Raw genomic sequence first — 23,683 nt, forward strand, 5'->3', positions numbered from 1 at the left:
CACACATTCTTCCCAAACTAAGACTTCTGGGTCTTTTGATTCTTTTGGAATTTCCTTGGGGCAAGATTTTCCCTTAGGCCTAAATCTTAATGATCTTTGATAGGAAGAGTCCTGTAAATTATTCATTTGTGACCCAAGTGACATTTCACTTACCATGTGATAAGTGAATTTACTGGTGGCACTGACAGTAGGTACTTCTACCAACCAGTTTTGGTTTGTAGGCATTAAGCATCCTGGTGCTTTTCCCAGACAAATAGGAGGATAATGATACCCAATGGAAATGTTTATCATCATTCCTTCTTCTTCAGGTTGGGCAGGGCCACGGTCATCTGTGGGGTCTGGTACCCATGTACTATTGTTAACATGTACTTCAATAGGATTATCTCTCCAAGTGAGTGCCCGAATTAAGGGTGGGAAAGGCACATAGGCCCAGTAAGTATAGTTAGCTGTAGCGGCTCCTGCAGATATAGGGAGACTTAGCACCATTGATACAATCATTAAAGCTGCAAGCAGCATATTCTCTGGAGTTTATGTTACCCTCATGTTTTTCAGGCTTTTTTCAGCTAACTGTGTCAGCTTCTTTAGCTGGGCCCAGGTCGGCGGCTCCGCTTTCTTGGTGGATGGCAACTTCATCTGTTCTTTTGATATCACCATTTTCTTCACCTGGCGAGGTGATGATGCTCGATTGCAGGTTTTCTGTCTCTATGGAGGCACCTTCATTTGCATCTCTGATGGGTTCATTGTAGAACTTCAAATGTCTAGTGGGTATCCAAACAGGAAGCTGATTTTCTTCTGGTGAAACACAAGAAAAACCTCTCCCCCATGTTATCACCTTACCTATTTCCCATGTTTTATTTTTGTTGTCTTTCCACCAAATCAGTTTTCCCCCATGTGGGCTGTTCTTTTTACCAGTAAAATGTTGTTCTGCAGAAGTAGTGGTCTGATTTCTATATATGTTTAAAGAATTTAAACTATAGAGTGCTAGATTAAGTTGCATCTGGGGAGTGTTATACTCCTTACTGTCTTTTTCCATTTTTTGTTTAACCAATTGAGCTTTGAGTGTTCTATTAGTTCTTTCAGTTATGGCCTGTCCTTGGGGAATTATAGGGGATTCCTGTTGTATGTGTAATTTTCCACTGATTTAGGAATTTTTGAAATGCTTTGCTACAGTATCCTGGCCCATTATCCGTTTTAATTTTTTCTGGAACTCCCATGACAGCAAAACAAGATAATAAATGTCTTTTAACATGGGAAGTACTTTCTCCTGTCTGGCAGGTTGTCCACATGAAATGTGAATAGGTATCAACTGTCTCATGGACAAATGACATTTTTCCAAATGAAGGTACATGTGTGACATCCATTTGCCATAATGCATTAGGACATAAACCTCTGGGATTAACTCCTGCCTCCTGAGTGGGCAGGTGTAAGACTTGACACTGAGCACAATGTAGTACAATATTTTTTGCTTGTTTCCATGTGATATAATATTTATTTTTTAATCCTGTTGCATTTACATGAGTCAGGGCGTGAAGTTCTTGTGCTTCCATGAAATCAGATGATACTAGGAAGTCAGCTTGTTCATTTGCCTTAGTTAAAGGCCGTGGTAAATTAGTATGTGCTCGAATATGAGTAATATAAAGTGGGAAATTTCTTTTTCTTATAGTTTATTGTAACAATTTAAACAGCTGATTTAACTGATCACCCATACTATATTTGATTAGGGCTGTCTCAACATCCTTTGTAGCCTGTACTACATATGCAGTATCTGAAACAATGTTAATAGGCTGATTAAATCTTGTTTAACACTGAAATGACAGCAGCCAATTCTGCTCTTTGAGCTGAGTGATATTGAGCTTCAATGACTCGTTCTTTTGGCCTGATGTAAGCTGCTTTTCCATTGCTGGAACCATCAGTAAACACTGTCAGAACATTTTTGAAAGGTTTTTTTCTGGTAATTTTAGGTAAAATCCAAGTAGTCAATTTTAAAAACTGGAAGATTTTTGTTTTTGGGTAATGATTATCAATAATTCCCACAAAATCAGCAAGACCAGTCTGCCATGCAGACTGAATTGATAAAGGCTTGTCTAACCTGTTCCTTGTTTAAAGGGACAATGATTTTATCTGGGTCACTTCCACACAATTTTACTATTCGTAGTCTTGCCTGACCAATTAATGTAGCCATTTGATCTAAGTACAATGTAAAAGTCTTTACTGTGGGGAAGGAATGGCCACTCCACAATATCTGTATTTTCAACAATAATGCCTGTTGGAGAGTGTGCAGTAGCAAAAATCTAAAGTTGGAGTGGGGCTGTATAGGAAGACTGGAATAGTGATCTCTGCATGCCACTGTTCTAACAAGTCTCGGCCCCATAAATTAATTGGAATAGAAGTAATCATAGGCTGAACTGTACTCTCTTGATGCTCAGTTCCTAAACAATGTAAAATCATGGACTTTGATACACTTCTGAGGCGGTGCCCACACCAACAAGTCCTGTAACGGACTTGTTTAGGTCAATTTTTTGGCCATTGATTTAAGGCAAGGATAGAAACATCAGCCCCCATATCCATGATTCCTTCAAACTGCTTTCCCTGAATAGTAACTGTACACACAGGTCTATTCTCTGAGAGCTGACTAGCCCAATAAACAGCATTTCCAGCAGGGTTGGTACTTCCAAACCCTCCTGTTTTTTCTGTTTTGCTATCCCCAATTTTGATATAAGGCAAGAACAGTAACTGAGCAATTCTATCACCTGGATTGGCACTCCAGGGAACAGTAGAGCTAATCACTAACTGAATTTCCCCTTTATAATCAGAGTCAGTTACCCCAGTATGAATTTGGACTCCCTTCAAATTTAGACTTGATTTTCCTAAAATAAGGCCTACTCTCCCTTCTGGCAGCGGGCCATGTACCCTTGTAGGAATCTTTTGCAGGGGCTCTCCAGGGAGTAAAGAAATCGTAAATCTTTACATAATCATAAAGAACATAAATCTACTGCCGTGCTGCCTGCTGTGGCGGGGGATAACTGTTGTATTGTTGTAATTAGCTGATTTCCTGAAATGGTGGTATTTACTGTGGGGGTTGTTGTCCCTGAAAACCCTGAGGAACAAATGGCTGAATCAGGAATGCCCCACTTTGTTGCGGGGCCTGGGGCTGGCCCTGTTTGCCATTTCCTGACAATGGTTGCCCATTTTTATCAAATTTAGAAGGACATTTTTTAGCCCAGTGTTTTTCTTTTCCACATTTTGGACACAGGCCAGGTGGCTGTTTACTTTTGCTCTGTTTATTTAAGCCTGGGCAATTCTTTTTTAGATGACTGATTTGACCACAATTATAACATTTTCCCCCAAATGTTTTAACTTGTCCTCCTAAAGCAACCCCCTAATTGCTTGAGCCAATAGCATTGCCTTATGCATAGCTCCTCCAATCCCATCACAAGCCTTCACATATTCTGTAATTACATCAACTCCTGCTGAAACCTTTCCTCTTAATGGCTTTATGGCTGATTGACATTCTGGATGTGCATTTTGGTAAGCCATTATTTCTACAATAACTTTTCAGGCATTATTATCTGCAATGGATTTTTGAGCTGCAGCATGCAACCTTGCCACAAAGTCTGGATATGGCTCTTTAGAGCCTTGTCTGATTGAACTAAAAGAAGGGCAGGCAGATCCTGGGTCCTGAATCTTTTCCCAGGCCCTGAGGCAAATAGCCCTTAGTTGTTCAATAGCCTCATTTTGCATTATTGATTGTTGGTTAATAGTGCTCCAATTTGGACCTGTTCCTAGCAATTGATCTGCATCTATATGGACAACAGGATAAGTAGCCTGATTTTTCTGTACATATTCTTGTACTCCATCAATCTACCAGGTTTTAAACTGTAGGAATTGAGAGGGTGAAAGGGAAGATTTAGCCAAAATTTCCCAATCCTAAGGAATAAGTCTATTTCCAAGAGCAATGGAATCTAATAATGTTCTCATACAAGGAGAGTTGGGTCCATATTGTTTAACTCCTTCCTTCATATCTTTTAACATTTTCATGGTGAAAGATTCATATCTACACTCAGTTCGGACAGACGCTCCTGCTTGACTCCCTTTCCCGGCCGGGTGGGTTGTAAAATTACTGGGAACTGCCATGCCTCAAGATCTCCCTGTTTTCTGGCTTTATCAATGATTTCATGGAGTGCACTATCTTGTCCACTAGGTGGTACTGTAGGATCAAACACCATTGCCGTGGGATGTTGATATAGTGCCCTGCTATTTGGGTTGGGCGCACCACCTGAGTTCTATACTGAACCTCTGGAGACGGCCGATACTGAAATTCGGCTGGCGGCTGGTGTTGATAAGCTGCCGGTGGTTGGGTTTTATTTTCCACCAGCTGATATTGTGGATACTGTGTCTGGATTGGCATTTGAGGTTGTAATGTCACAGGCATCTGAACCGCGGGAGAAGGAGTTGGTGGCCATCATCGTCTAAACTCTGATGGCCCAAATAATTCTGGACCTTTTCCCCCCAATTTTGATGGTTCAGGATATATTACTTCCTGTAACTGATTATAGTCAACATTTTGCCTTGACTGAGCCATTACAGACTCTACTACATTTTTACAATGTGAACTTCCCATTCCTTCCTTGAACTCTGCTCCTGCCTCTTCTTCACAATCTATTACACAGCTTTCAGGGACATCAGAAACTGAAACGCTAGCCAATCAGGGAATGACATTGCAGTAGGGGCTACCTGCGACAGGAATAGGAACCCCTTCCCCTCCTTGCTCAGGTGTGTTCTCACCATTGCTCCATCTGCGAGTCATACCCTTCTATAAAACTAAAATTGCCATGCTAAGAAAATGTATGTTCGAGGGCTATTTTTTTTGTGGCACTGAAACTTTATTTCTAACAGTCTGGAAAGGTGTTCATCTCAAACAATACTGCCCCTGATGGAAGTATAATAAAAGTACTGCAAGGTCTAACTGCTCTGTCCAATGAGTTAGCCAAAAACTCAGGGGTAAATGACCCCTTCACAGGGTGTCTAGAAAATGGGTAGGTAAATGGAAAGGAATCATATCCTCAATTCTTTCTTCTCTCGCAAGCTTTACTTTGAAGCAAAGGCAGGAAAACTCGAAGCGGGAGGGAACTCCCAGGTCACAGATAGGTGAGACACCAGTGGTTACATTATTTTGAGTTTGCGCTTCCTAGCTTGAGTTTTTGGGAGCCCAAGATATTTTTCTTTTACGTAAATGTGCATTGGAATTTAAGCATATTTGGTATATAAAACAATACCAATTTAGCCAGCGTTTACATGTCTATGTAAATCGAGTTTATGGACAGACACTTTGCATATTTTTCCTTTTTTTTTTTGGTGAGACAGAGTCTCACACTGTTGCCCAGGCTGGAGAGCAGTGGTGCAATTTCAGCTCACAGCAAATCAAGGGATTTTCCTGCCTCAGCCTCCTAAGTAGCTGGGATTACAGGCATGTGCCACCATGCCTGGCTAATTTTTGTATTTTTAATAGAGATGGGTTTCTCCATGTTGGCCAGGCTGGTCTTGAACTCCTGACCTCAGGTGATCCACCTGCCTCGGCCTTCCAAAGTGCTGGGATTACAAGCATGAGCCACGGTGCCTCGCCTGCATATTTTTCTTGATTTGTTCATGTAGAAAATAGTTTCTTCCTAAAGAGATTTTGTGTTAAAACAATGCCTGGTTGAAAGTGTTAGATGCCTTAGATTTAGTTTTCCTCTTTTTGCCTGAAAGGGTTGAATGCTGAGGCATCTAGTATTCTTGTGTATGGGAATATTCCCATGTAATTTTTGTTTCTAGTCCTGTTGCTTCCTGTGTTAAAAATAAGACTAAGGTGTGTAGCTGCACCTATAGTTCAAGATGAAGGGGTCTGTGTGAGAAATACAGTGTTTGCACGTGTGTATGTAAGTGAGAGAGAGATGACATACAGAGTGCACAACCTCTTTGTAATACCCAGTTGACTCAGTGAAATCTGACTCTCTGAGCTGGCCTCTGGGCGTAGCTTGCCTACCCCAGGTCTAGATCTTACTGGTTGTGTAGTTTTTCAGCACTCAGATGTTGAGAGCTATGTATTTCTCAGAGCAGTCTTCTCTCTCTCTCTCTCTCTCTCTTTTTTAATGTGCATAGGTGCATATAAAAATTGTGTGCCTTGTTTAGATGAGATCGGGGTGTTCAGGATAGTATAGCTGTGGATCCTATCCCTTTTCAAGGATGATAGATTTATTGCTAGGCATGTTCTGGAAGGAGATTTTTGTTTTGTTTCTGTGGGGTTCCCTTTTTGCTCAATGAATGAATTGGTTATTTGAAGGCATTGGTTATTTATTCCATAAGCACAGGGTGGTGGCCTCTGCGCAGGCCCATGCTTGAAGGTACTTGCACTAGGGACAGTTGCTTTCTTCCCTCCTGGAGTTGATAGAGTTGAGGGGAGGCAGATACTGGAAAGCAGCCACAAATGCACCAAAATGTGCAGTGGACTGAGAGTGGCCAGGATGTGAGGAGTTACTACAGCTGCAGCACAGACCAGCATCACGAGAGTTTAAGTGTAGGAGAGGGACTATTGAGGGAGAAGGACAAAAGACACATTTACCCTACAGATTGAAGAAAATTACTATAGGGGTTTCTTCTCTGTTATACTCATTGTGGTGTGACTTTTTTTTTTTTGAGACAGACTTTCGCTCTTGTTGCCTAGGCTGGAGTGCAATGATCTTGGCTCACTGCAACCTCTGCCTCCTGGGTTCAAGTGATTCTCTTGCCTCAGCCTTCTGAGTAGCTAGGATCAGAGGCGTGCGCCACCATATCCTGCTAATTTTTGTATTTTTACTAGAGATGGGGTTTCACCATGTTGGCCAGGCTGGTCTTGAACTCCTGAGCTCAAGTTATCCGCCCACCTTGGCCTCCCAAAGTGTTGGGATAACAGCTGTGAACCATGATGCCTAGCCTATGGTGTGACTTTTTTTTTCTTTTGAGACAGAGTTTCATTTTTGTTGCCCAGGCTGGAGTTCAGGGTTTAGGGGGCAAGCCCATGAGCCTCACTCCTTCTGCTCTCTCTCCAGCAATTGGAAAGGGAATCTTTTTGCTCAGCATTCCCATGCCTCCCACAAGCCTGGCATGGAACCTGTGCACTTGCCTTAGTGTCCTCGGCTGCTGTAACAGAGCACCACGGGCCTGGTGGCTTAAATTGCAGCTGGTCATTCTCCCATAGTCATAGAGGCTTGAAGTCCCAGGTCACGGGGCCGGCAGGGATGGTTCCTCCCGAGGCCTCTCTTCTGGGCTTGTAGACACTGTTTTCTCTCTGGGTCCTAACAAGGTCATTCTTCTGTCTGTGCCCTCATCTCCTGTTCTTATGAGGGCACCAGTCCCTTTGGATAAGGGACCAACCTAATGACCCTGGTTTACTTTAATCACCTCTTTCAAGGCCCTAACTCCAAATAAACAGTCATGTTCTGGGGTCCTCAGGGTTAGGACTTCACCATATGAGTTGGGAGTGGGCAGGTAACATGCTGACTGTCCAGAACAAGCAAACCTGTAGAGGCAGAAAGTGGATTCCTGCTTGCTAGGGCTGGGGACAGAGAGCTTGGGGTGACTGCTAGCCAGCACAGGGTTTCTTTTGGAAGTGATGAAGGTGTTCTGGAATTAGAGGTTGCACAACTCTGTGAATATTTTAAAAACCACTGGATTGTACATTCAAAAGGTTGAATTTCATGGTGTGTGAATTATATGTTAGTAAAGCTGTTAGAAACAAAAACTGAGGATAATAGGTAAAAAGAGGAAGGGAGTCGAAAGCAGCATCAGGTGTGAATGGTTCATAATTCAGCTTATAAAAAAGCATGAACTTTCAGCACAACTGTGTGCAACTAACTGTGTGTTGAAGACGTGAGTGAATGCTGGCTTTCTGCACCCTTTGGCCTGGTTTTCTCTATTTTCTAATTTCATTATCATACCTTCTATTTCTTTCTCCCCCTCCTCACTTTTTCAGAACATTTATTCTCGTTCTTACCTGTGTCTACACAAAATTCCATAAACATAATGCTGCAGTTCAAGGAAGTGTTCTGATGTTAGGGTGGTAACTTAGGAAAATATTCATCTTTGGGGAAGTTTTGGTTTCCCTCTGAATGAAAACCATCTGTGAAAGAGATACTTAAATACAGTTTTCAAATGCTCCTGAGACATGCCCAGATGTTCTTTGGGGAGAAGTGAAGGCAGGACAGTTTCTAAGGCAAACACAGACCATATTGCAGACAGAACCCAAGTAAAGAAAGGCATAGTGATGGTAGGTATTTATGCATCAGCATAAATGTGGAGGTGAGGGATGCTAGCTTAGCAGGCCAGCATGATTGAGTTATGAGAGCTGAAGACCAGGATACTGCCTCTTCTGGGTGTCCTGCTCCAAGCTGCTTCGAAAAAGGAAGCAACTGTGGACTTCTCTGGGCTGTGGTTAAATTGGGTTCACTTTTGTACCGTGAAGACTCTACAGAGCCAGGGATGCTGGCACCCTGGAGAGACCTTGCTCCAGGAGCTCAGGAGTGGGTAGAGGCAGTGACAGTAAAGCACTGGCTTGTTGGGCCCAGTGCCTGGGCAGTGCTGAGCTCTGAGGGAGGAACCCAGAACCATGTCGGAGCAAGGGCAGGAGGCAGGTGAGGAGAAGGGTTGCCCAGCAGCCTGTGGACTGGGTCAGTGTTCTATGATATTGTCTTTCTGCTTTGCTGTCTGATCCCACTAAAGACTAGCCAGAGAGATGTGGAAATGAAAAATGGTGGGTGACCATTTCTCTCACTTTCACTGGGTCTACAATGTCTATTTCACATCAACAGCAAGATCTGTACAGGCATCCTAATAAGTATAAATAAGGTCCTCAGAAAAACTGGGTTGTGAGGCTCCTGTCATCTTAGTTTCTTTCATCATTTAAGTGACTATTTTTTACTTACTGACATACAGTTGTTACTTAGTGGCCACCTACTATTTTTATAGAGTTCTTTATGTGCTTTCTGTTTACCAACATTTGTTTTCGTGCTCATCCTATTTCAGTGTGGCTTACATATAATAAGATGCACCCATTCTTGACTACTGTGGATTTTAAAAAAAAAAGGGTTATAGAAATGTGATTCACATAACAAACACCTATTTTAGGTGTATAATTCAACAGTTCTTAATACCCTAATTAAAAAAAATACAGTGTTCAGTATTTCCCTTTTCTCCTTTTTCACTAAAATGGACTCAGGATTGTGGGTAACTGCCATTAGTCCCATTGGTTTAATTCCTGGCCGTCAGTGTTTGCTGGGGATGTTGGTACCTCCCTTAATACGATATTCTTATAGCATTTAAAAAATTCTAGTAAAAAACATATCCAAAATGGATCTCCCCTCTTCACCCCTCCCTGTTTCCCCTGCCTCCAGCTCCCAGCAACCACTATTCCAGTCTCTGCTTTTTTGATTTTCACAACTTTAGGGAGCTTGTATAGGTGGAATCACTTTAAAAGCTGATACATGTGAAAGCGCTTAGAACATGGCTTGGTGAGCATCTGGTCAACATTAAGTACACTTATTTATTTATTTACTTTATTTATTTAAATGAAGTCTTGCTCTTTCACCCAGGCTGCAGTGCAGTGGTGTCATGTCAGCTCACTGCAACCTCTACCTCCTATGTTCAAGCAATTCTCCTGCCTCAGCCTCCTGAGTAGCTGGTACTACAGGTGCCTGCCACCAGGCCTGGCTAATTTTTGTGTTTTTAGTAGAGACGGGGTTCCACTATGTTGGCCAGGCTGGTATCAAATGTGTGACCTCAGGTGATGTACCTGTCTTGGCGTCCCAAAGTGCTGGGATTACAGGAGTGAGCTACTGTGCCTGGCCTAAGTACTTTTATTATTATTTTTAAGAAGCAAGGGACATGGACTTCTGTCTTTTCACTGTGTAGAAGACTTCTATCTTTTCACTGCACTGCAGACGCAGGCTTCCAAAAAACATCCCACTTGAATTCTTACCCAACTTTTCCCCTAAAAAGGAGCTAGGAAACCCTCATTGTCAAGAATGCTTTGCCTGGTATGCATGTGTGAGTGATGTTATGTTTGTCATTATTTGACAGACAGGGAGGAATCTTCCAGTCCCCTATAAGGCAATGAAGTTATGCACAGATGTGGTTCAGTTTATAGAGGGAAGGGATTGGATGTGTAACGTGTGTGTGGCTTGCAGCCAGGCTTTCAAGTGTGCAGAGGAATAAACGTTTTTGCCTCCAGAATTTTAACTTAACTGGAAAGAAGTCTGAATTCCACCTCTTGGGCACACTAGCCTGAGGTCTCCTCTGCAAACCTCATCATTAAAGTCTTCAGGTGTGTGTGTAATAGTCTTCAGGTCCATATGTCTCACAGCCCCCTTTATGTGACAGTCAGCACAAACTCATAAAGACGTGATGATGAATTCTATCAGAGAAATCTTTCTGGTTTTGTGAAAATAATGATGCACTCTTTCATATCCAAATGATGGAAGCTGGCTCACATTTCTTGTCAAAATTAATATTAAAAGACAGTGTCCTTTATATTTTACTTGTCTAGGTATAAACATCATTGTTGAGTATGTAGGACTACCTTTCTTCTTGATTCTGAAAAGAATGTATAGAGTGAGTATTTTAAATGGAATTAGTGGGCATACAAGGATCAGTGACACTTAAGAAACCAGCCATAGATAGTGTTGGTATGAGGATTGGTAAAACTAGGGGTGGGGAATGAGGATTTTTGGTCCTATATCATATTCTCAAGGCATTTTCTAATAATTCACCCTTTTCACATAAGAATGGTTTGAAATTGATCAGCCTGAAGCCATTAGTATGAGAGGGGGAGGGAGGGAGGGGAACAGAGAGAGAGAGAGAGAGAGACAGAGCGGGGGAGAGAGAGAGGAGAGACTTGCTCTGTCACTCAGCCTGCAGTGTAATGGCACAATCTCAGTCCGCTGCAACTTCTGCGTCCCATGTTCAAGCGATCCTGCTGCCTCAGCCTCCCAAGTAGCTGGGATTACAAGTGTGTGCCACCACACCGGGCTAATTTTTGTATTTTTAGTAGAGATGCGGTTTCGCCATGTTGGCCAGGTTCATCTGGCACTCCTGACCTCAGGTGACCCATCTGCCTTGGCTTCCAAAAGCACTGGAATTACAGGTGTGAGCCACTGAGCCCCGCAAAAGCCGTATATTCTTAGATGGTGCTCTCTTAGATTGCAGATGACAGTGGTTTTGCAATAGCATTTTCAAGTTAGGAAGGAGAAAGATAGTTTTGGGTTTCTTGCAGTGTGGGGACCAGTTTTGTCATTGCCGTGGATGGTTGTGGCTCTGGTGGTACAGTGAACTTTTTGGGTTAAAATTTATTACTGGTAGTATGAATTTTGGCTGGTTAAATTTTGGAAACTTGCCTGTAATTTTATTTGATAGATGATCAAAATTGATAAGTGACTTGGTAAGTGATAAAAATTCTGAATGGACTGGCTTCTGGCTTTGATCCTGCTTTGATCCTTTCCAGCTGTGCTTCTCCTACCCTCAGGCAATCCCTATCATGCTGTACTTGTCTGGCACCACTCACCCTGTCCTGACACTGGATGATTTATTTCTGAATGAATTGCTCCTGGAAGCTATTCTGACACCGTTACAGCTGGCAGCAACATAACTGTCTTGGGATGCTCCTGGAGCATATAGATAGATGTAAACATAGCATTTTAGTAGCTCTACTTCCACAGTATTTTCTTTCAGAATGGGGTGTTAGAGTTGAAGGAGGCAGGGCCATGATGAAGACTGTGGGCAGTGTGTCTTTCTTTGGACATTTTCATCATGATCTGAGCTTGTGAAAACTCTGCCATGGCCCTTCCTCCCACTTTGGAAGAACTGGAGCAAGAGTGGATAGCAGCTGGATTCACAGCATGGTGTGAATCACATGACAGCTCAGTCTTCGATCCCTGGGTGCTGCAGAGAGGGAAGAATCAGCCTCGCAGGGGGAGTGACTGCCAGCCCTTGTGGTCTGTCTCCTGCCACGTGTCACCATACTGAACATTTGTGTGTGCTCTGTGTGTTTTCAAAACACCTTCATCTTGCCTGCCCTGGACTCTTCCCTGTGAGGGAGGCAGGATGGGCATTACCATCTCTGTGGACCAACAAGGAGAGTGCAGCTTGCAATGCATGAGGTGGCTTCCCCATTGCTGTGGAGGCATAGAAAATGGGGGCCTTGGACACAAATCCCTGTGTTGGGATTCTGGCCACCCATGCCTGCTGGTCACCCTCAGTTCCTCCCTGGATTTGATTCTGTGGCTCTTCTGGATGTGCATGTGAGTGTGTTATGGGTAAGTCTGTTGTTGTTGAGGGGAAGGAAGGGGAAATTAGCCAGCCAGGAATCTCTGTGCGGTGGCTGTCATGAGCTTAGCTATATCCAAGCCCTGTGTGATTGTTACTTTTCAAGGCAGCAGGGTGACTTTGAAATCAGAGGGGTATTTTCCTTATTCACAGAGACTCGGCTCTTCCCTCTGCCCCTCCTCATCATCTTCCCCCATTCCGTCCCCTCATTCCTCTTGCTGGCTCACATACTGAGTAGGGCATCTCAGCCCTCACACAGGAGGCCATGAGAAAGAGGAGGCAGAGCTGTCAGAGTGTGACCCCTCATTTTGTGGTTGTGCAAGTGACTGCTCCTGCCCCTGAGTGGCTCTCATTCAATGGGTCAGGGGTGTAAGGGACATTGTCCAAGCTGTGTATGGGACTCTCTGTTGATGCTTGTTTTTAAATAAACTATTTGATTGAGCTTGTCTAAAATCTTCTTTGTGCCAAGTGTCAGGACAGGTGATAGAAAATTCTGACCAAACCCAAAAGTTCCAGTATCAAAATTGACAGTGATATATCCTCGCTTCTTAACACAGCCAAGAAACAGGGGTAAAGGATTATCATCCACATATGGAGAGTCCACCAGCCTTTGTGACAGTAGCTGAACACAGAACATTCTCTGCAGATGTTGCTGAGGCTTAAACTCGTTATGTTTATAAGGATAATCTGCTGTTCTTAAGAAGGTAAAAACAATTGCAAGTTTACCTGCCCTCTCCTCCTCTGCCCCCACTTAACATTCTGGTAGGGCCTAGCAGGGGGAGTTTTACAAGGAATTGGGGCAAATTACTCCAACAGATACTTCCACCTAACATCCTAAGAAGCGTGTGTAAATGCTGTTGTGAATTTTTTAACAGTATTCCAAACTCCTATTAATTATTAGGTGTTTGCTCAAGTCAAGAGCAGCAGAAATACAGGCCTTGCTATCACAGGATCTGTAGAGACCCAGGATGCTGCTAAACATCCTACAGTGTGCATCACAGCCCCCTGCCAACCAAGACATTGCTGTTTATTCTACACTTCCAAGGCCCTGACTTGAAGACTAAATTTGATTTCAGCCCAGGCTGAAGTTTGAAGCATCATTAGTGGGAAGTGAGATAGCACAACAGTGGAGGACAAAGCATGTTACTGTCAGTGCCGCAAGGGAAGTTTGAGCCAAATTGTTAAGGGATTGAGATGGGATTTCTTTATGTTGGTCAGGCTGGTCTTGAACTCTTGACCTCAGGTGATCTGCCTGCCTCAGCCTCCTAAAGTGCTGGGATTGCAGGTGTGAGCCATTGTGCCCGGCCTTCATTAGCTTATTAAGTTTTTCCTGGGATTCCCAGTCAAATCTGTGAAACAATTTTAAAGCTAGATGTTTTGTAATTATTTCTCCAGAAATCTGGAAATTTGTCCACAGGCCCACTGGGCATTGTTGATACACTGAAGTCAATTGTCTCAAGCATTTTGCGGATGTCTCTGTAGACACGAGTGTGATTAATAGAAACATATATTATTTTAAAGGTGTTGCTGAATTTACAGTCATTCTGTATTTTTGTCATTTGGTATTTTTTCCTGAAAGATTACATAATTTTACATAATAAAAGTGCAGCTTGCTTTCTTTATCTAGGTGATCTGTGAAACTTTTTGACACTTAAAAATTGGTTTTAATTGTATTTTGCCATGTTACTTGCAGTTTCAAGGGGGTGAACATAGTGGTGAAAGATTGGGTAGTACAGCAGGATCTAGCCGTATGATTACTAGCCAACCATTAAAAATAATACTTTAGAAGTGATACATTTATTGGTATGACCAGGTGTTTACAATATATTGCAGTGGTGTTTCTGCAACCCACAAGAGACCAGCAGCCCAGCTGGGACTCTGAGAGCTTCTAAGATATGTCCCTGGAGTAAACCAGGCTGCAGCGAGGTCTGTACACTTCTGTATTGTTTACTGACTTATAAATTTGGTTTACGTAGCTAGACTTTGGTGTTGTACAATTATCACACACTGGGGGTTATTTGAAGAAGTATCCCAAGGAACTGTCTTGTGTGTTTACTGAGGATAGCATTGTATGCAGTGTACAACTTCCTCTTTCTGAGAGAAATTTTGCACGTGTCAGAAGTCTAGGAGCTGTGTTTCGGATACTTGTATCTTCTTTATTGTTTAGATACTGTGAATCCAGAATCTAACTATAGTTCCTTCTTTGAGGTCTAGGAAATTTGAATCAGTTTTACAGTTACCTTCCAAGTGATTGCAGGTTCTGTCTGATTGCAAACTTTGGGTACCACCTTCCCCTTATCAGCTTTATCTCCTTTGTCTTAGCATGATCTTCTCTTGGCCACAGTTTCCTCACCGAATTACTTTATTTTTGCTATTTTATATGTGCTTTTGGAAGCCATGCCAACTTTTTTCTCTTCTTTTCCTTAGCGGGGAGATAAAAGTGTTTCAGTAGAGGAGAGTGCTGTGGCTTCATGGAGGTTGTTGGTTTGCAGTAACTTTTGAATTCCGGTATTTTAACGACATCTTATGCTAATCTAGCTGCTTCCTGTTGAAGTATATCAGGACAAAGTATATTTCTAAATTTATTATGATGAATACTCTATTAAATTTACTATGATACATAGTCTTAAAAGCAGCCGAATTTAACATTCAGAACTGAATGATAAAGTTCCTTAATATGAGTTTAGAAAAGATTCATAATGATTAATGGAGCTCCTGCATTATCGAATTTTACTGGAATAAAAAAAATTATTAGGCTTGTAGTGGAAATTCTTTTATATCTCCGTTACTGCTGAGGAACAGTTTCCTCTAAACCCCTCATAGCCTTGAATATACTTCGTGTGTGTGTGTGTGTGTGTGTGTGTGAGTGTGTGTGTTTGTGTGTGTGACACAGGGTCTCAGTCTGTTGCCCAAGCTGGAGTGCATTGGGGTGATCTTGGCTCACTGCCACTGCTGCCTCCTGGGTTCAAGCCATTCTCCTGTGTTAGCCTCCCGAGTAGCTGGGATTACAGGTGTGTGCCACCATGCATGGCTAACTTTTATATTTTTAGTAGAGACAATAGCATTTCATTGTGTTGGTCAGGATGGTCTCCAGCTCCTGACTTCAAGTGATCCGCCCTCCTCAACATCCCAAAGTGCTGGGATTATAGGTGAGCCACCACACCCAGCTGAATATCCTTCATAATGTTTGTTGAAAAGCAGGAAATGAAAATGAGGTATTGGAAGTAAAAGTTTTTTTTGTGTCCCATGAAACATGTATAACACATTGCTGCAGAAAGAGTGCTTAGTTATTTCTCAAATTATACAAAGGAAATATTTGCAACCTCTTCTATCATCAGTGCAGCAGTCCCAGTTGTTCTCTGTTAATCATAGCTGACAAAAATGCCCTCCAGTTTATTGCTTTGATGAGCCAGATGGTAGGCTCTGTGTTTTACATGTAATATCTCTATTCCTTCCATCGTCTGCCTAACCTAGATATCCTTCATCCCATTTTTATGAGACTCATGGGTTCTTGTCTGGGATCCCACACCTAGTAACTGACAAGATTGCAAACTAGTTCTGTCACCTGTGGAGTTTCATGACAAAGACAATTCTAGGCGATGTTGGTATAGTGTTCTCTGCATGCCAGGGGGATTCTGTGCTCTTTCCATGTGTGAATGATGGCATCTGCTAACTTTGTTGGGAGAGTTCAGTTATCCTCTCTGTACAGGTGAGAACAGGAGGTACTGAAGACATCTGGCCCAAGAATACTATCGCTGGCATGGGGTGGGTGGTGATTCCCCCGCAGTCCTTCTGGCCCAGAATGCATGCTGTTTGTTGTCAGGCCAGCTGCATCTCAGATAGAGTGACAGGATCTGTTCATGTCACAACCAGAAAAGGCTCTGAGGCCAAGCTCCCTGTGTTGCTTCTTACTTTCATTCTGGAATCAGAGGTTCGTACCTGGAAGACTTACCTCTGCGTGGACAACTGGTAAGGTGTCACAGAGGGTGAGGTGGGCCATTGTAGCAGAGAGTTGTTAAGAGATGGACACATGGGTTTTCTCACAGGGTGCCAGGCTGGGGAATGGGAAACCATTTAAGGGACGTTGCTACTAGCCTAGACCAAAGATGAGGGGTGGGTCTAGACAGATTACACAGTGTTCATTAAGCAGGTGTAGACAGATTGCAGGGCTATTTGTGAAGCTGATTTGCTGGGGTTCTTTGGGGGTGGAAAACCTCTTATGTATGTTCATCCCACCTCCTGTTGTTGACAGATGACACCTGCACAATCAGGTCCTCCTAATTCCTCCCACCACCCAAAGTGAAATACACAAGTCCCAGAGAACTATGTCATTCTTACCAATGTGGGCAATGTAGGATGTCAGAAACATCATCCACCCCAAGTTATGACAATCTTGAACATCTCCAGACATTGTCAAATGTCTCTTGGAGGGGGCACAATTATCCACAGTTGGGAACACAGGCCTAAATGCTTGGGGCCAGGGCTGACCCACTCGGTGTAGGCTAGAACAGAATTCCCGATGACTCATCATTAGGACATTTGACACCCCCCACCTATCACCTTTTTAAAACATTTCCACTCTTGGTAAAGGTTGGGGCTTAGAAGTCATTATGAAGACAATCATTTCCAGAGGGGTGAGAATCAGAAAGCTGGCTACTTCGGGTCTCTGCCTTGTAGGAGTTCCAGAGTGTCTTTATGAGTAGAGTGAAGCTCCAGTATTTATATGAGTGTTGGGGTTGTTTGGTGGTACAGAGTAATGCAGAAGGAGAGAACTGGGGAACTGTTCACCACCACCCAAATAGGCTACAGAGAAGAAGTCCAGGAGACTTATACTGCAACGGAGACAGGAGCACTGTGGCCGGAAGAGTGACATCCGGGTTTTCTGTGAGTGCTAATTTCTTCTGCTAGAATGAGCACAGAAACATGTTCTCTGGAGTGAAAGTGGAACATTGTGTGGTTGATACGTGTGCAGCTGCCCATAGCAGCTCTTCCTGATGGTCTGAATATGGAGGGTGGCAGTTGGAGCAAGTTTGGTTTTTGAATAGACATGTACATGTGCCTGTGTGTGCATGCACGTACATGTTGTATATGTGTGTGCATTAGCACCCAGTTCCTGAATTGGCTAATCATTTTTTTTCCTCTTTATAGGCATTGATGTCCTAGGTTGTAAGGTGCTAAGGTAAGTGAATAAATTTGTCTGCTTGTGTTTAATGGCTTTGCCAAAGGGATTTGCTGGCTGTTTTGTTATATGATATTGAAGCTAATACAATTGACCTTTCCAGGTGAAGAGGGAGTCAGATGTGTTTTGCAAATGGTGGAAACTGAAGTGTGAATAGCAGGACCATATGGTGTTCAGAAACTTTTATCATAACTACAGTGAATAAATAAAGTGCCTGACAATTACATTTAGAATCATGCTTCGTCCTCATGCAAAATGTAGACAGCGCTTTGAGACACAAGGGAGAGATTAATTAGGATTCTTTTCTACCTCATGATGCAGTATGTTATCCGTGAACAAAAAATAGATTTGTATTATGTGAGGATTATCTTTCTAAAGATTGGAGTTGGATCTGTGGGGAGAGATTTGAATTGCTCTTGATTGACAATTTGATGAATTTGAAAGATCATTTTATCCTACTTAAAATGTATTATCTTTACATGTGATTTTTTTTGTCTCTAAAGATTAGTTTCTCCCTCTAAAGATTAGTTTTATGACACAAAATTTATTTTATCACTGTAATTTAAATAATAGCAAATGCTTAGAAACATACTATGCAACTGATAGCTTGTTAAAACTTTGTCGGTATTTTATTTAGAAGTAGTGATTTTGCCAGTTAGTTGTACAACAGTGCACTATTATTATTATTATTATCATTATTATTATTTTTGAGACAGAGTGTCACTCTGTTGTCCAGGCTGGAGTGTAGTGGCATGATATCGTCTCACTGCATCCTCTGCCTCCCAGGTTCAAGTGATTCTCCTGCCTCAGCCTCCTGAGGAGCTGGGATTACAGGCAACCGCCACCACGCCCAGCTAATTTTTGTATTTTTAGTAGAGATGGGGTTTCACCATGTTGGCCAGGCTGGTCTTGGACCTCTCACCTAGTGATCCACCCACCTTGGCCTCCAGAGTGCTGGGATTACAGGTGTGAGCCACCGTGCCCAGTGAAAAGTGCAGTATTTTTTATTAAGCCTCATAAGACATAAGCCTCACAAGAGGAAGTCAAGTTTGTGCGTCTTTAGTGTCTGCTGTTCTCCTTATTTGAATAGCTCGTATGTTTAACCCTGAATTTGTAAATGCTACAAGCATAAAAAGATTCCATGTTCTATAGGAACTACTGGATATGAAATGACTTATCTAAAGAGTAGACTAAGACATTTCTCCGTTAATCTTTACATAGAAAAATGAATGATTTTTCCTGAATATTTGTTTCCCTTTACATACAGTGTTACTATGTCTGTTTCTCTTTGTCATAGAAAAAAAGTGATTTTCTTTGGCTTTTGATTTTGTTGTGTATTTGTTTTAAATACAAACCTATTGTATGCTTGCTGTATTCTAGATGGGGGTGGGGAGAGAAAGAAAGATACAGAGAGAGAGAAAGAAATAGAGAGATGCTACACACTTTGTTTTTTGAGACAGAGTCTTGCTCTGTCACCAGGCTGGAGTGCAGTGGCACAGTCTCGGCTCACTGAAACGTCCACCTCCCAGGCTTAGGCGATTCTCCTGCTTCAGCCTCGTGAGCAGTTGGGACTACAGGCATCCGCCACCACACCCACCTAATTTTTGTATTTTTAGTAGAGAGGGAGTTTCACCATGTTAGCCAGGCTGGTCTCAAATTCTTGACCTCAAGTTATTTGCTTCTGAAAGTGCTGGGATTACAGGCATGAGCCACCATGCCTGGCCACTACACACTTTTAAACAATGAGGTCTCATGAGAACTCTGTCACAAGATAGCACTACAGGGATGATTTTAAACCATTAGAAACTGCCTCCATGATTCAGTCACCTCCCACCAAGTCCCACCTCCAACATAGGAAATTGGAGTTTGACATTAGATTTGGGTGGGGACAACAGAGCCAAACCATATGAAAGCTGTATTGAAAAGTGATTCCCAGTCATGTGGATAGAACGATAGGCTCATGTGGTTTGAAATGGGTATACAGAAGATTTGCAGTTTGGTTTTATTCTACTTTCTATCTAGGTTCTTGGCACTAGAATGCCTGGAAAAGGATTTGTTTTATCTGCGGTATTTATGGAATGAATAAAAGCATTCAAGGAGAATGCCCTGGCTGGCCTCCTAGCTTCCTCTAGAGCATCCAGTATACAGAAGAACTGGTTCTTACCACAGCATGTGGAAAGACACATGGAGTAGTTGGCTTGCCATACAAGGAAGTTGCTGTCAGGGGCCTTGCTGTTCATTTTAGGTGTTTGGTGCTTGATTCTATTAGCCTATATATTACTCTTTTCCTAAGTACCTCAGTAGCTCCCCAAAGTGGAAATGAGCATTGTTCATAGTTCGGGGGCATAAGACCCATGTTTATGCACAAAGGGATGTTCCTGCTTATGTGATAACCATTCTACAAGGTCCTTGAGCTCCTGCAAGGAACCATAAGGAATAAAATCATAGAATTATTATGAAAATAGTAATGGTGGGATATGGAAATTATACTAAATTTTTTCCTCTGAAACTAAGTGGAATGTCACCTGAGAGTTGGTGCTGAAGGCAGACCTGATTTTTCTGTTTTTAAAGCATTTTTGTCATAGTCGTTGTATTTGTGCTGTTCTAATATGGCAGCCACTAGCGGCATGTGACTGTTTAAGCTTAACTAAAATTAAGTAAAATTTAAAATTCAGTTTGTCAGTCACATTAGTCACATTTTGAATGTTCAGTAGCCACTTGTGTCCAGTGCGTACCTTATTAGAAAAGGAAGATATAGTGCAGAAAGTTTTACTTGACCAGAGGAACAATTCAGACATTTGCCTAGTTGGAATTCCAGGGAAGAGAGGGAAAAATATTTTAAATCTGAAGAAGAAAGAAATTTCACACCAGGAACTACAAAACAATGCATACAAATTAACCACATCAAAATATTATACCGCATCAAAGCTCATCATCATAACATCTTAGAATATTAAGATCTGTCACTTTCCTGAATTTTTCAAAAAAAGCAAATGAAGGATATTGGAATCAAAATTACATCAGATTGCTTAACATTAACACTAGAAGTCAGAAAAAAGACCTAACATGGACTTCTTTGAAAATAATATTACTCTGAGAATTTTGAAGTTGTTCCTGTCCTAATTGTTAATTAATGATTTCCTTCAAATTTTGAAGTTATTCACATCAATTAATAATAATAATTAGTTATTCATCATTAATTGTTAATTAAGGGTAGAATAAAGGTGTTTGTCCACATTGAGGATATCAGTAAAAATTAACTTTCACATGGAAATTCTTAGAAAACTAATAAAGAATATATTCCACCAAAGTGAGGGAGTTAACCCAGTATGAGGGAGGTTTAGGATCCTGCAGATAAAGGAAGAAGGAATTCTCAAACGTTGGGTGTTTTCAGGGCAGTGGCTCTTGCAGTACAGACTACAGACTAGAGCAGGAAACAAGAAATTTCCAAAGGAAAGTCTGGTGTGAGTTTATTGGTTAGGGGTGGGAGGGATGGGGAGGGTGTTGGTGGAGAAAGGAAACACTGACCAATTATCTGAGAGTTTTGGTCCTGTGAAAAGTGTAATTGAGACTGTTAGAGAGTGTTGAAAGAATTATCAAATGGTACACAAAAGACTGGAATAAAAACAAAGGCAACTGACAACTCCAGGAGAATGCAAAAAGTATATAAGAAAGAAATGATTACTGCTCAGTAGTGCCCATTTATAATATTGTGAAAATACATGTGTAATATATGATATAGCCAAAACCAGGTTATATGAGAATATTGAAAACTTACCATTGAAAATGGGAAGGTCAGTACAGAATTGGCCGTGGGAATATAGAAAAACAAAAGTCCTTACTGTATGTATGAAAATCAGTAAGTGGTATCGAAAATCGATTTCTTAATTGGAGTATCATCAGCAAATTATTTAGAAACATAGAAGTTTGGCTGGGTGTGGTGGCTCATGCCTGTAGTGTCAACATTTTGGGAGGCCAGAGGGGGAAGATTGCTTGAGCTGAGGAGTTTGAGACTAGCCTTGACAACACAGTGAGACCATGTCTCTAAAAAAAATTTTTTTAATTAGCCTAGTATGATGGCATGCCCCTGTGGTCCCAACTACACAGGAAGCCGAGAGGGGGGACTGGTTGAGTCCAGGAAGTCAAGGATGCGGTGAGCTATTACAGTGCCACTGCTTTCCAGCCTGCGTGACGGTGAGACCCTGTCTCCAAACAAACAAACAAACAAACCATGGAAGTCTATATACAGGGAACACCACCATCACCAAAAATAGTTCTAAGATTTGAAAGTGGTTGCTTTGGGAAGTGAAAATGGGGATAGATGATGCTGAAAGACTTGTAATTAATAAAAGGAGTCTTTTTGCTTCACCTGCACTTACTTTTTAAAACTTTATATGTGTATTACTTTGTGAAGAATAAAGTGCTTTGAAAAATAAAAGTGTAGAGCAGGGATTGCCAACCCTTTGAAAAATAAAAGTATAGAGCAGGTACTGGCCTATGGCCTGTTAGGAACCAGGCTGCACAACAGGAGGTGAGCTGCATGTGGGCCAGTGAGCTAGTGAGCGATTACCACTTTAACTCTGCCTCCTGTCAGAGCAGCAGCAGCATTAGATTCTTATAGGAGTGTGAACCCTATTGCAAACTGTATGTGTGAGGGATCTAAGTGTCATGCTCCTTATGAGAATGTAACTAATGCCTGATGATCTGAGGTGGAACACTTTCATCCTGAAACCTCCCCCTGCCCACCACCCCCTGTTGGTGGAAAAAATTGTCTTCCACAAAACCAGTCCCTGGTGCCAAAAAGGTTGGGCACCGCTGGTATATGGTATACCCTCTGTAGAATTGTAGAATTGTAGAAATTTTGGCAGATGCTAACCTAGATGCCGGTGGCATTCCTCCCTGAATCCTGACAACTAAAAATGTTTCTAGACATTGCCCTGTGTCTCTTGGGGGTCAAAATCTCCTCTCTTTTAGAACCACTGATTTCAAGGATTTTAAAGTGCATTACTAAATACACATCAATATATAATAAACATGCTGTTTGATATTGGTAATACAGGAAACAGTAGCTTCTTTTTATAGAACTTGAACCCTGGAGCAAATGAAGTGGTTCAGAATCCTCTGGCACTATAGTACCATTGATGCTTATACTGGTACATATATTAGTCAGAGTCTGGCTTTATGCCCGACTAACTCAGGGTTTACTAAGAAAGGAAAAGGGATCAGGAGGAACCCACAGCTTCTCTGTCATGATTCGTGGCTTCCAAAAACGTATTTTAGGTGTCTCATGTTGCTTTTATGGTACAACTTCTCTAGAGTTGAAAATATTAATCATTATGGCAAAAATATTGCACCTTTTATATGTATTCCAGTGCTCGGTTGGCTGCAGGACAAATCGTTTTCCCTCCAGAGTTGTTTTGTAAGTTCTTTGTTATGTGTTTTCCTCTAGAATTTACACAGGAAATCAACAGGAAAATGGTATCCCAGACTTTTTGATGTGGATGAAACCTCATAAATAGTGTAAAACCTTCATTTCACAGCCGAGGAAACTAGTCCAGGGAGGGTTTCTTACAAATAAGTGGAAGCACAATGGGGCCTGGAACTCTGTTCTTCTGTTTTGTGCTTTCCTTTTAAAATATCACACGTGTGTCCAGTAATGCTGGAGGAGCAAGATAAAATGGGGAAGGGCTAGGGCATCTGATGCATCATGGGAGTTTGTTAGGATTTTCACACCGTTACAAGTTCTCAGCATCCTCTGCAAGGGGTGTATGCCCTTAATAAGCTTAGAGAAAATGGCAAAGAGAGGCAGGAAATGTAGTTTCCATGATCTTTCTATGAGCTGCCCCTGTACCTCACTACCTTATGGCCCAGAACTGGGTGGGGGGTGTAGGCTGGTGCATTAGCATGTCTGACAGGGAAGACCCTGGCTTCCCGGTCTTGTAACTCTTGTTACTAGGGCACTTGTGGAGCCAGCGTGCACTGCCCCTGCGGCTGTTCTTAAAGCAGTGGCCAGAAGAGTGAAATTGGCCTGTACTGGTTGGGTGCGGAGCTGCTTCTTCACGGGTCCCTATGTTCTGACTGTCCTGTCCCCTCCCCTGGGATCAACCCTCCTCACCCCAGATGGTTCAGCCTATGAGGGTTAATGTCTGCCCCAGCTTAGGGGATGCTGGT

The 23,683-nt window shown here is 42.2% G+C and overlaps 1 protein-coding gene across 3 annotated transcripts in view; it reads left to right on the forward strand.

The window, feature by feature from the left end:
• The window catches only part of TBL1Y (transducin beta like 1 Y-linked), a 180,987-nt gene that overhangs the window by 50,035 nt on the left and 107,269 nt on the right, over window positions 1-23,683 (forward strand). For 2 of the 3 annotated variants that reach the window (NM_033284.2, NM_134259.2), the window contains exon 3: window positions 17,482-17,512. The exons of the other annotated variant lie outside the window; for it this stretch is intronic. The gene's annotated coding sequence lies outside the window, so the exon portion shown is untranslated. The remainder of the gene's footprint in view (window positions 1-17,481; window positions 17,513-23,683) is intronic. 3 annotated transcript variants of the gene reach the window in all.

Source organism: Homo sapiens, chromosome Y (assembly GCF_000001405.40).
Source record: "Homo sapiens chromosome Y, GRCh38.p14 Primary Assembly".
NCBI classification, from domain to species: Eukaryota; Metazoa; Chordata; class Mammalia; order Primates; family Hominidae; genus Homo; species Homo sapiens.